General features: G+C 42.0%; 1 protein-coding gene across 11 annotated transcripts in view, besides 2 other annotated features; it reads left to right on the forward strand.

Moving 5' to 3' along the window:
* PBX1 (PBX homeobox 1) overlaps positions 1-14,165 on the forward strand; it is a 326,864-nt gene that overhangs the window by 130,264 nt on the left and 182,435 nt on the right. The gene's annotated exons all lie outside the window — the stretch shown is intronic.
* Positions 1,753-2,253: an enhancer, noted in NCBI's record as "H3K4me1 hESC enhancer chr1:164660437-164660937 (GRCh37/hg19 assembly coordinates)". NCBI's record gives its function as "activates a minimal SCP1, AML or CMV promoter by ChIP-STARR-seq in naive H9 embryonic stem cells {active_cell/tissue: H9 hESC(naive)}" and the evidence as "EXISTENCE:reporter gene assay evidence [ECO:0000049][PMID:30033119]".
* Positions 9,908-11,139: an enhancer, noted in NCBI's record as "VISTA enhancer hs1144". NCBI's record gives its function as "enhancer in: heart[5/12]" and the evidence as "EXISTENCE:transgenic organism evidence [ECO:0001131][PMID:17130149]".

The following is a 14,165-nucleotide window of genomic DNA, read 5'->3' on the forward strand; positions in this document are numbered from 1 at the left end:
CGTATTAATCATCTCCTTGAGGGAGGAAATGAAGGGAATGGGCGAGCAGGTTTCTGTCAGATGCCAATCCAGATGAAGAGATGTGAAAAGAAATTTTTTTAATCCTCCATAGCTATATCCATTTCCTGGGACATGGGTTGGCCCAAGAGGGAATGAGAAGGACCTGCGATTGCACAGGAAATTCTGGGGCACATTTAACGTTAAATCATTAAGCTTCTGCCAATAAATCCATTACTGTTAATTACACTGAGATGGCCAACGATCTGCTGACAATATTCCTTCATTGATTTTCATTCTCAGTGAATCGATGTTCTGGCTTGGCTCTCTTTGGTGTTTTCATTCTTTCATTTCTTTCTCCCTGTCCTCATCTCTCTCTCCCCGTGCCCTGCTCCCTACACCTATCCCTCCCCCTCCCCTTGAGCTTTTTCAGTAATGCAGTTCCCCTCTCACTGGTGATACAGTTCTCTCCCTAAGTGCCAAATGTTTCTTGATAGGAACAAGCTACATTTCTTTATGGCTTATGGCAAACTGCCTTGATTACTTCTACTGCTGTACCCATTATGTGAATTAAATATGTATTCAGTTGCATGCTGCTTGCGATGTTATTGCAGGGTGACATATGGTACTGACTCAATTAGAATGAAACTAGCATTAGATAACCCTTCTGATTACATGCATCCTGACCGGCTCCTCCTCGGCCTCCCCTCTGTGCTCTCGCTCTCCAGTGTCTGGAGGCCGCAGATTTTCATTATCTCTGCCACATCGGATGCAGGATGGGGGTGGGAGAGGGAGGGGCCTGTGGATCTCTGGGAAAGAAAGCGGATCAGACAGACAGACTGCTGTGAAAGGGTTGGTGGGGAAGAATAGAGAGGCCTCTGTGCTTGCATTTGGAATTAACATTTACAATTATATTTTTTGGAAGTGGTTGTCAGGCCTACTCTGAAAAGGGGCTGGAAAGGTCTCTCTAGAGTTGTGAAGCAACGGCTGCATGTGATTAGTCAGTCCTTACCTTGAAATGATTTATTTAAAAAGAATACATTGTTCGGGCGCAGTGGCTCATGTCTGTAATCCTAGCATGGGAGGCCGAAGCAGAAGGGTTGCTTGAGCTTAGAAGTTTGAGACCAGCCTGGGCAACATAGCAAGACTCTGTCTCTAAAAGAAGAAAAAATTTAAGCTTTTCTTAAAAAAAAAAAAAAATCTTTTTTCTGTTGTTGCTGTTTCTTTTTTAATGCAGAGCTAATACTCTACTACCAGTAATATATTTTGTTTTCATATCACACCAATATTCAGTATATGTTAACCTGTTGGATTTTCATCATATCACACCAATATTCAATATATGTTAACCTGTTTGATTTTCATCAGCATCTGACAACACAGGTAGACTAGGAATCATCCCCCTGTTTTACGGATGATGCGGTGGAGATTCGGAGAGGCTTGGCTGCATTACAGTTTGAAGTCACAAAGTCCCTGAGTGCCCAAATGAGGGGGAATCCTTAAAATGCAGGGGGTTCTGAAGGGCAACTCAAGGATGCATTGTAAAGTGATCAAGAGTTGTTAAATCTTTTTTTTTTTTTTTTTTTTTGTGACAGAGTCTCCCTTTGTCACCCAGGCTGGAGTGCAGTGGTGCAATCTCGGCTCACTGCAACCTCTGCTTCCCGGGTTCAAGTGATTCTCCTGCCTCAGCCTCTTGAATAGCTGGGATTACAGGCATGCACCACCATGCCCGGCTAATTTTTGTATTTTTTGTAGAGATGGGGTTTCGCCATGTTGGCCAACTGGTCTCGAACTCCCGGCCTCAAGTGATCCTCCCACCTTGGCCTCCCAAAGTGCTGGGGTTACAGGCATGAGCCACTGTGCCCGGCGAGAGTTGTTTAATCTTGAAAAGTTGTCTAGCATAGTTGGTGCTGGAATATCTGGAATATCACATCCTGACATAATACAAATCACACTAGAGTACTGTGGGCATATGACATTTCCTTATGAGGAGTAATTTTCTCTCTGTGATAATTTTAACTGTGTTTTAGAGTGTTCTAAGCTTCCTTCCTCCAGCTCTATCACTTCCAGTTGCCAAGCAAGAACTTATAGACAGACCCATTCTCTTTCAGTCCCATCTAGACACACCTGAGGCTGAAGCGTCTTCTAGGCTAGGGGCTACCACAGGGCACTGATAGAGAGCAGAGAGCTTGCAGGCAACCTTGGCTTTTCTCAAGCGCTGGTAGAAAGGCTGCTGGGTCTGAGATCACCCAACTGATGTTGCGTCACCATAAAATAAGACTTCTTGCCTGTGAGCAGCTCAAGTTAGCAGGCATATTTGAGTGTCTTCCACAGATCCCCAATCTGGAAATCTGAAAACCAGAATGCTCCCAAATCTGAGAATTTTTGAGCACCACCATGATGCCACAAGTGGAAAATTCTGCACCTGACCTCAGGTGACTACACAGTCAAAGCATAGTCAGAACTTTGTTTTATGCACAAAATCATTAAAGTGTTATATAAAATTACCTTTAGGGTCTGTGTGTAAACTATATGAGATACAAATGAATCTTGTGTATAGACATGGGTCTCATCCCCAAGACACTATTACGTATATGCAAAAATTCCAAAATCTGAAGACAGTAATCCCAAATTCGAAACACTTCTGACCCAAGCATTTTGGATAAGAGATACTAAACCTGTATACGTGCTTGTGTGTACCACATTATATGCTGTGGGAAATACAAAGTGTACGTAGACAGCTGGCTATAGGCAGCTCATACGCAGGCAGAAGTGGCCATAGGCAGCTCATACCCAGGCAGAAGTGAATATCATGAGGGTAAGTGTAAGTGAGGATGGTGTGAACTCAGAAGTGCCATAGATGCACTTAAATGATTTTAGTGTTTTTTATGCTGTCACTCAGCCCATTGCCTTGAGTATAGCAGGCTTTTAACAAACATAGGTTGAATGGATGTGGGGATGAATGAAAGGGAGGGTGTGAACTATGATATAATGAGGCAGGTTTTCGTGGAGGAAATGGGACCCCTTATAGATAACACAACCATCCATTCCCACCCCACCACTCCCTCCCCTCCTGCTTTTCAATTATAATAATGATAACTAAGTTATGCAGCACTTTATATTTAAAGTAACCCTTTCAAGAAATGCTGGAAAGATAAGCAAGAAATGAAGAAAAATGGTTATCAGTAGAGGCCAGGTGTGAGCGTGGGGAATAGGGTTAACAGGGCCAAACAAGGGTGGGAGCAAGACTTGGCAATGTATGGTGATCATAATGTATATTGTAGATGTATTTTTTATATTGTAAATGCATTAACTACTCAAAAATAATATTAAAATCAAAGAAATTTTCTGGAGCATTAGCTTACCCAGTCTTCACAGTCGCCCTTTAAATGGGCTGCACAGTTTTACTAGGTTCTAATTTCATGAAAGGGAATCGAAGAATGTAAATAACTTACCTAAGATCATAGAGTTAGTAAGTTGTAGAGGCAAGACTAGCCCAGATTGGGTTCTTTCTACCACAGCATATGGCTTCTGTGAACATTGTCCCAACTGTGCTAATCCCCAGAGAGGTTTATGGCTATGTGGTTGGGACCTTCCCTGAGACCACTGTTCGCCAAGGTCACTGTGTGTGCCCCACAGGCCTCTGCAGGAAGAAAGAGTTGGAAGCTCAGGGTTCTTCTCCCCACTGCCACTGTAACACAGCAGATTTAAACTACAAGCAACAGCAGAGCAGAGCAGAGTTTGGATGTACAAGATGAGCTGTCTCTGAACTGGCCCTGTGGTTCATGCTCGCTGTTGCAGAAGGGAGGAAGTGTGAAGCAGATGGCCTTTGCCTGGTTTTCAGGGTGGCCCTGAGATACACAGGGTGCCTGCTGAGGAATGAGGGAGCTATTACAATTATTATAATACCTGGAAGGGCCGAAGAACAAATCAGGCACTGAAAGCACCAAAAGTTGTTGATCTTGTAAATTTAGGACAGTGCGACTTACGTTCTTGAGAGCAAAGTATGACATTTTTATGGCATGCTTTAGGTAGGGTCCCCACTATTCTATAGGTGTTTATACTGCTTCAGTTGCTTCACAGCTCCCCCTTCTTTCCTACCACACCTGACACTCCCCACCATTTTCCATCGGCAGGGGAGCTACCTAGAGCTGCCTTACTTGGCAGAGCAGAGGTAGCACCTGTGTCATTGGCTGTTCTAGTGTGCTGTCATCTAGCATATCTGTTATTCCATCTGCAGCCTTCACACACTTTTGCTCTCCAGGTCCAGTGAGTTCATACATAGCAAGGGCTTTTCCTGAGTATCATGTAGCCAATGAAGAACAGATCTGTCCATAGACTCCTGGAAGGTAATTTGCTGCTCTGAACACCATGACGTCTGCCTTTTCACAACGTGCAGCTAATCATAGGCACCTTATGCCCAAGATTGCCTTTCACAAGAGTTGTGAAAGTGCTCTCCCAGTCTGGTTCCTTCTATGGGCCATATTCTGTTTTGATGTTGTCTAAAAGTGTCCTCTGTATCTTCTGTACCTCCTAACCCAGGTCCCACCTCCATGAAACCTTTAGGATTATCTCAGATGTCACAGAACTAGAGAGACTAGTGATTCTAAGATTTCTAGCTTTTTTTTTCAATTAACTTCTAGAGTGCTTTGTTTTCTTTGCTGAAGTCAGATTTCTGCCCCTGCAGATTATGAAATCACCCAGTGGACAAATTCAGTCCTTATTCTACACTCTTGCTGTATTTGATCCTGACAACCTTTCTATTATAAAATTCTCATTTCTTCATCTCTGTATTCTCTTGGTTTGCTTCATATCTCTTTGGTTGGGCCTCCTTAGTTAACTTCAATGTTGCCTCCTCAGCCCATCACTAAGTATTCGTATGCCTGCATTTATCAACTAAATACCTATGGCTCACAAATATATCCATCTGTGATCTCACTGAGGACAGAGGACTTATCTTCTTTGTCAACCGCTGCATCCCCAGTGAGGAGTACAATGTCTGGACTAAAACAAGTATCCAGTAAGTATTTATTGAACAAATGGTAAAGTAAAACCTATATGTTTAGCCCAGATTGCTTTTGTGAGTTTCAGATCTACACATATAACTGCCCGGCAAGCATCTCTATATCCATGTTCAGCAGATTTATAAATCCAGAGCAGACCTCATCAATCCCCATCCACAACAAGTCTTCCTCCTGTATTCCGTCTTTTATCTGCCCAATCTAGAAACCTAATATTTGTATCAGACTTTAACCTTTTTCTATGTCACCTCCCACTACCTTCATCTAATCATTAGCCAATTTGTGTTGATACTACCAGCAAGCATTTAATGAACACTTTATGCCAAGACTTATAAAACTAAACACATTCTAACTATTTCTCATTTCTCCTTCTTCCCATCTGCTGTCATCCTAAGTCAGGCACTCACTATCTTTCACCCATTCAGCAGTATTGACCTCTTGACTGGTGTCTCTGCCTGTAATATCCTTAAGCAGCCCATCGCATCTGAGGCCTGCCAGGAGACTCTTAACATGCTAACCTGCTTGCTATACCCTTATTCAAAATTCTTTGATGGAGGTCCCATTGTCAAAAGCTGCAGTCCTGAATCTCAAAACTGTTGTGCCATGATCAGTTGTGAAGTATGTCACAAGTAATTTTGATATTAATAATGGTTCAAGACCTAAGGTTTGCAAATTATTTAAAATTTTAAGCTAAGTCAAATTATCACCATATAAATGTCACTTTCGCTCACTTGAATTCCCATATGCTTTCTTTAGTGGAAGAGAAAGAGTGGCATTACAGTCTGCTGAGAATTATTCATTTTGGTCTGTAGGATGAAATCTAAACTCCTTTGCATAACCTACATGAACCTTGTGATCTAGTCCTTGCCTACTTCACCAGGGCTATTTCTCACCATTTTTTTCTATCTCATCATATGCTACAAATATACTGAGTTACCTGTAATACCTAAAACCTGCCACTTCTTTCTTATACCTTTGAAGATTGTCTCCTACTAGCGATTTCTTGTACCTGTTATCCCCTAAAACACTCTTACTGATCATTCAGATCCTGGCTGAGGCCTTGCCTGAGTATCCTGACCCAGTTCTAGATATTCCTCTTCCTTTGTATCCACTTTGCCTTGTATATTCCTTCATTGTAGCTTATAATAATTACATGGTGTTTTTAGCATGTTCGTTTCCCCGTTGGACTGTAAGTTAATGCCTTTTCATGTTCTTCTCCCAATTTTTAGTACATGGCTGAACATATGGTAGGTGCTCTGTAATCTTATCCACTGGTCCCAACATTCTTCAGAATCAGGCAACTTTAGTACCACATCATAACTTAATAGATAAAAGCGAGAGAGCCCTGGACAGGGAGTTTGAGCAGCTAGTCCTAGCTCGTCTATAATGATTCTGTGGCCCTTGACATGTTACACAAAACTTATATCTATCTCAGTTTCTATGTGTATGGTCTGTTTGTAGGACTTCCCTATGAAATGGTGGTTTAGACCAAGTTGGAAGGTGTGCATTGATTGGAAAATACAGGAAGTAGGATAGAGTAGGCAAAGTGAGGCCCATGTGCTTGCCATTGATAGTCTGTCATTGAATGTCTAGCTGGGAGTAATAAATGGAGACCCAGTCGTTATTTGAGCATAGATGACATGTTCTGAAATTAGATTGAAGGACTTCTCATCTGGTAAAAATGTGCCGGATGTACTAGAGTGTAGAGAGAGTGAAGAAACAGATTTCAGCCAGGAGACAAAAGGATCTGGGATCTGCTATCTTGGGAATGAAAAAGATCACACTTTTTTCAAAAAGTTTTTGAAAAAAAGAATGACAGAGCCTGGTAACCACCTAGATATGGAAGTTGAAGGAAAGGTATGAATTGAAGATGATGGAATCATTTAATTCATTTATTTATTTGGATTCCACAGAAAGTTTGAGGTGGGATATGACTCAGTACAATGAAAACTGTTAGGCATATGGCTGGAGGGTGTGGTCACAGATGCTGGCTTTGTCATGTAACTCGGAAATAAGGCTTTGCCAGGATTGTCGTAGAGTTTGCTGCATCGTATGCAAGTTTGGACTAGACTCTAAGATATCTCCCATGTCTGTCTATGTGTTTATCTTTGTAAGTTCTCTGATTTGTTACCTGAGAGAATGGGTTTGGCATTAATTAATAGGAATAAGGAAATCAGGGAAGGGAGGGGATTTGGATGCCAGGTAGAGTTTTCTTCATTTCAGATTGTGGTAGATCTTTTGAGTTTCACTGAATGTTGTGATAACTTCTGTATAATTGTTGACTTTCCTTTTGGCTTTGTCTCTGACTTTCATAGGATAGCGCTGTATCTGTTAGAATCATACTCTGTTTTCAGGCTGTCCCTAGGCTGAGCTCACTAGTTCCAGTGACCTCTTTCTGGTAGGAGGTCAGAGTTTATTGAGTGACAGTGGACCAGAATAAAATTATAGTGGAAAAGAATTTGGGTTTTGGAGTCAGACTGACCCAAATTTGTGTTCTATATCCTTTGTCTATTTTGTGACATTAGCAGGTTACCTAATTTTCATATGTCCGTCTTCTCAATACTGCAAGTGGGGATAATATCACCTACTTCATGGGGTTTGGTGAAAGATTAAAATAATAATAGCTAATATTAATTTAGGGATTAGTTACTAAGCACTGCTATTTTACATTCATTATCTCGTTTAATCCTCCCTGCAAAATCTATAAAGTATGTATTTTCATTGTCCCTGTTACACTGACCAGTAGAGGGATTAAATAATTTGCCCTGTTACCTGACTAGGAATTGGCAGAGCAGGGATTAGAACCTAGGTTGAATGACTGCAGAATCTGAGCCTTTAATAACTGAAAGCACGGCAGCTTCCCAAATGTCACCCTTTCTATGAAAATGTGAAATCTCTAGTAAGACCCTCTTTCAGATTAATCACCTCTTCTACCATGCTCCTATAACAAAATTCCTGAAACTTTAATTAGCCCTTTTCTATTCTATGTCAACCCTTTATTCAACCCTTAATTTTAATCATTTTTATACGTCCCCTTCTCTTCACTAAATTATAAACTTTTAAAAACAAAAACTGTGTTTACCTATGTATTTTTGCATTCAATTCCTTTATACACAGGAAGTCTCAATGTTAATTTGTTGCAAAGAAATTATTTGAAAGGCTCATGCCTTCCCTAGGGGGACATCTTTAGCCACTTGGTGCCTTGAGGTCACCTTTACTTTTCCATCATCAAAATAGGAAAATTAAACTGTCACAGAGTACTACGAATAGCAGTAATGAAATATTATCATTTAAAATAAGGATATAATATCACTTAGCCTGATTGTGGTCTTCACATCACCTCCCCCGACCAAAGAAAAGTCATAAAAGCAGAAGTGTTCTTTGCCTCAGTGGTTTAGATTGTTTGTGATATTTGGAATTGAACTAGACAAGAAGAGACGTATCAGGAACCAGTTCCTCCTTGCCTCCAGGTATCAGACATGCTAGATCCCAGTTGGTCTTAACTTTTTGTCTCACTTACCCCTTTGGTTGGAATGCAGGCATTATTCTGAAGCTTTGTGGTAAGCGACTTGGATTTTCTAGTGTCGGGCTCTTCTCTTTTTTAGGAAGGGAGAAGCGGGTCTGGGAAATTAAAGTGCCTGTATCTCCCAGGGCACCGATTGTTAAGAGGGTTGGGACCTCAGTATGTTTTTTTTCCATTCTGCCACACCTGAGATAGAAAAAAGAAATACCACGGTCCCTCGGGTAGCAGTAGAGGGTGAGAGCAAGACTCCTACCTCTGAATGCCGTTAGATTTAGAAGTTCATTTTGACTGCTTTACGATACAAAGTTGAGTAATAATAATGGTCTTACTGGTATAAATAATAAGCACAGAGTGTTTCATACATATCAAAGCAATTTCGTACATTGTAGTTCTCATTCTTTGAGAAACAGCCTTGTGGGGTTGAACAGAAGGAATTACAGAATTGTGTTTGACGGTGTTGAGTGAGAAATTTTTAGCTGTTTTTCTTATTTTGTTCCCTGTTCCCTCATTTTTTTCTTATCCTGAGTTAGTCTCTTGATTTACATCTCGGCATTCAGGACTCAATGTTGCCAGCCTCCCGCATCTGAAGTAGCTGAGAGCCAGGATGCTAGCAGAGGATATCTGTGTAGCCAAACTAAGGGCCCATGTACTTAAGTTTGTGCAGTTGACTCATCAGAGCGCCCAAAAGCCACCACTCAAGACCTCTGATTTCAAATATGATTCTAATTGTATGTTTATCTGGCTTCCTAGCCTGTGCCAGACTATATACATGATAATCTCTAACATTTACTAAGTACTTACTAACTGAGACACTCTCCTAAATACTCTCAAGCATTCACTCAGGTAATCCTCACAACCACACTAGAACACGAGGTACCACAACTGCCTCCATTTTACATGTGAGGACAGAGCACAGGGGGGTTTTGAAACAAGGTCCCAAGCCAGTAGTCAGGTCTGGCTTCCATGATCTGGAACCACAGCCCATGCTATCAGCTATAGCACTACAACCTCAGAAGAGGGGGAAACTTAAAGAAGCAGTAAAATCATAAAAAGGAGACTCAAGAATTTAAAAAGACCAGCAGACTGAGTCTATACAGAATAGGCATGCGTGCTCTCACATAGCAGCGGGCCTGGGTGATCATCAGCATTCCTAATGATAAATGACGTGGGTCACAAAGAGGAGGCCAAATAATGTCCAAGATCCCTCTCTATCTATCTACCTAGATATTTTTTAAAAGAAGCTAGATGGAAATATAACATGTTTTAGAAGATTACTATCGAAAATGATGAAAATACAAATAGTTTTGGTAAAGCTCCAGTAACAGGGAGCCAAGCTTTCAAAAGTGATTTATTTTTCAGTAGTTAACGTTTTTGTGCCTTTCTACCTGCTCGTGGGTTCCAGAGTCTCTGTTGCCTGGTGTCTCCCCGAGAACAAAGATTGTGGATCCCCAAAGTACCTCCACCTCCTCACTGGACTCCTGCTCCAGAAAAGATGACCATAATCTAATAATCACTCTACCGCATGAACAGGGTGTCACACATGTGCTTGACTGTGCCTCTACAGTGGCAGGTAGAGCGAGTGCAGTGCAGGAAATATCAGCCCTTTTCTAAAGCACTATGAAGATGAAAGGGGGAGGTGGTCAGGGGATGGAGAGGACGGAGGGGAAATCACTTCTTTGTCTAAAAGGGAAATGCCAGGACTGTCCCTTCAGGTCTGTTAAGTGTCTATAGGATGTGGAGGAAAATTCTTCTTCTCGTTGCTCCCACCTCTCCCCATCCCCTTTATTCTTTCTCACTTTGTAGAATAATATAAAAAAGCCCAGCAGAAAGGGAGCTGTGATGCTGTCGTCCCTGGCGTTGATGTTATTTATTTTCCTCAGTTGCTGCTCTGGAAGCCCGGAGTTGACAGAGCGGTTTTGTAGAATAGAAACATTATAGACTGTTACTGTCAGAGTGTTAAATGTGATGGATAGAGAAATAGAGGCGAAGGAGGGGACTTAATACTGAGAGCCAGGGTGCTCATGGGAAAATAAACCATCCGCATATAAGAAATGAATGAGGTAATGTGGCGGGAGGTAATGGGCTTTCGCAACATGCCGGAACAGAGATGCTTATTACAGGGTGTGCTTAACCCTTGGCATGCTGATTTCCCTTTGTGGGTTCCAGGGCTTTTCGCTGGGTCCCTCTGTGGGAGCATGTGTGTGGCTTTTCTTCAGGCAGGGAAGCCAGCGTGTGTAGAGGAGTGGAGGCAAACGCATTCTTAATAACACTGTATTAGCAGCCTGTACATCAGAGAGCTTGGCAGCTCCTGAGGGACACGGGACTCCCGTGGCTGTGTGAGACAGAATGTGCCAGGATTGCTGGGTTATGGAGAAGCCAAGGAAGGCACATCAAGGGAGCGTGAGGTTCTGTTATTTCTCCATTGGAGACTTAAGAGAAGTGCTTTGGTTACGTAGGGGAGGAGATTCATGTTACTTGATTCTCTTAGTGGCACCCGAAGGTTTCTTGCTACTCTTCGTAGCAAATACTAGCTGTTTACCACTGACCAGAATGTGGTGGCTTTGCTCTAGGTTGGGGGACACGGGAGCAGACAGTGATCATCTTTATTACCTCATGGTCTAGTTACAGTGCATGGTACAGAGGTAATAATAAAGGTGATCGTGTCAGGTGGAGACCCTGCAGCAGATAGGATGATGGAAGGGGACCCAACTCTCCTGGATGAGGTAGGTGAATTAAACTGAAGGTTTGCCAGTTTCAGTGAACAAGGTGCTTTTCCCTTGTGTTGGGTTTCTATGACTTTTTTCACCCATCTTTGTGTTTTGGTGGTGGCCAGCCCTGTATATTGCCACTTAGCTGATATGGACTCCCATCTGCCTCTGACAGTTGCCTGCTGTGTGGCCTTGAGCATGTCATTGAACCTCTCTGGGTGTTAGTTTCTTCATCTGTAACATGAGAATAATAACACTTCATAAATTCATTAGCAAGACTAAACATAATCATGCCTATGAAAGTGTGGTAGCCTCTAAAACATTACGCAAATAGCCAAGTATTATCATTATTTCTGTTAGTAATGAAACAATATATGCGTGTCAGATAATAAGGTAAAGCTCCAACTCCTAATCTTTTCAGGAGACTCTTTGCCTTTTTGCATTTTTTTTTCCCCTGCTAGGATACATAGAGTGGTAAGATATGTAGAAAGCAGAGTTCAGGGGAAAGTTAGAATGAGGCAGAGCTTCCAGGATAGTACTTTCTTGTTGATCTGTTATTTTTCTAAACCTTTTTCTTTTCTGTGTTGAAACACAATGCCATTTTTTGAACTTCACCAATTGTTATCTCAGATATGGATATGCCTGAGGCCTGGGCAAGTCAGGGCAGTGCCACTCCAGTTTCAGAAAAGAAAGTGTGATGGGGTTCAGCAGGGGAATTGCTGTTGTACTTCATTAGCCAAGCTCAGTAATTCCAAGAATACCCCTGCGGGTGTGGGTGTTTATGAAATGCAGATTCACAGGCCTTGCCCCAGCAAATTTGATAGGAGTCTAGGAATCTGTATTTCACAAACACTGTCAATGAATCCCATGCCTGTGGTACTTACGTCACTTATTAGAAACTACCTCTTCCTTCACACTCTCTCCCACTCCCCTGTGGTGATGGTCTAGTTACTGGTCTTAAAGGTGATAACTCACTACTATTCAAGAGTAATTAAAATGCCACCAATGCCCTCACTTCATCAGCACATGGGTCCTGCACAAGACTGATTGTGCACATTTTTAAAGCATTTTGTATTTTTTGACCGAGCTCTGTACTTATGATTTGTGTCATTTTCTATCTCTGTATTATGTGTTCAGAAAGTTTTTTATAATAGCACCGATATTGCTTTTATTAGTGGTACTGTGACATATGACTGAGACCCACAACCTTTTGGTCTATATTAAAAACCTACTGAAAAGTAAATAATTTGTAAACTTTAACCACATAGACAAAGTGCATGAAGGGGACATGGAGAGAATAAAAATCTCTTACAGACATATGTTTTTCCAGTGGGCAGCTGCTATTTAAGAACTTTTAAGGTGCACATGAGTACACCTTTGTTAAAAGGTATAGCTTGTATAGTAATTCCGTTCTGGGGGTTGCGGAGAAGAGCAGGAGGGAGCACAGTGTGCCTTGCCCTGGCTGGCAGTATGAGACAATTACCACGATGAGGTTTTTTTTTTAATGTTCTCCATATATAGATTAAAATGTTTGTTGCCTGAACTGGGCATGGAGAAGGCATCATAATGTGCACCTGAACATTCATGTAGGGTTTAGTGAGGAGAAAATAAGAGGATACCCTGAGCTCACATTCATGGGCATGGGCTCAAGCTTTTTCCAAAGTCACTGAGATGTCATTGTATTGACTCAGCCTTATTTGCATTACCTCATTCTGGTAGAACTGCTATGTTTATAGACATCATTTGGCATTTACCCTTCCACATCAGAGCTTTCATATTGGAGTTGACTCTTCATTTTGAGTTGACCAAGGTGGGCTTCAGTGTGAGTGAGTGTGTGCACTTGTACAGATACACCATAATCTAAGAATCACCCTACCCCCATGAACAGGGTGTCACGCATGTGCTTGACTGTGTGCTTCTACAGTGGCAGGTAGAGTGAATGCAGTGCAGGAAATATCAGCCCTTTTCTAAAGCACTATGAAAATGAAAGGGGGAGGTGGTTGGGGGATGGAGAGGACAGAGGGGGAAATCACTTCTTTGTCTAAAAGGGAAATGCCAGGACCGTCCCTTCAGGTCTGTTAAGTGTCTATAGGATGAGGAGGAAAATTCTTCTTCTCGTTGACATTGTGTAGGTCTGTGTGTATCTGCATATGCCTATATTCATTATGACTCATCATCTTACTCTCATGGTCTTTTGGAGATACTTTGTCTATTCTGGAGTGCAGAGGTAATTAACTTATGGTGCCAGCTCCACTGATATCCAACCATATATATCTTTGGATTTTTGAAAACCTGATGTTTGCAAATGTCTATTATTAAAAAAAAAGAGAGAGACAAGGTCTCACTATGTTGTCAGGCAAGAGTGCTGTAGCTATTCACAGGCTCGATCCCACCATTGGTCAACACAGACTGCTCTGTGTCTGACCTGGGCTGGTTCACCCCTCCTTAGGCAACCTAGTGGTTCTCTGCTCCCAAGAGGTGATCATATTGACATCAAACTGAGTGTGGACACCCAATTGGCATAGCGCACTACAGCCCAGAATTCTTGGGCTGGAGTGATCCTGCTGCCTCAGCATCCCAAGTAGATGGGACCATAGGTGTATACCTCCATGCTGGGCTACAAAAATCTGTTCTTATCTTCTGTGCCTTTTTCTTGTTATTCTAAAAGGTGGAAAGCCGAGCAACTTCAGGATGGTGCTGTAGCATTGTGAGTGAGAGGAGAATATATTTAGTTCATATGGCTGCCTTATGTGTAATGGATTACTGGGTATAGGTCCATGTATTGTTGATCTGTGGCATGACAGGCCTGGCAGAGGGACACAAACACATATGTACAAAATGGCTCCCTGCTCATTACCACGAGCCTGAACTCATTTCAGCTGAGACGACCAGTTAGCCAACAGCCCAGGCGTACAT

Source organism: Homo sapiens, chromosome 1, assembly GCF_000001405.40.
Source record: "Homo sapiens chromosome 1, GRCh38.p14 Primary Assembly".
NCBI classification, from domain to species: Eukaryota; Metazoa; Chordata; class Mammalia; order Primates; family Hominidae; genus Homo; species Homo sapiens.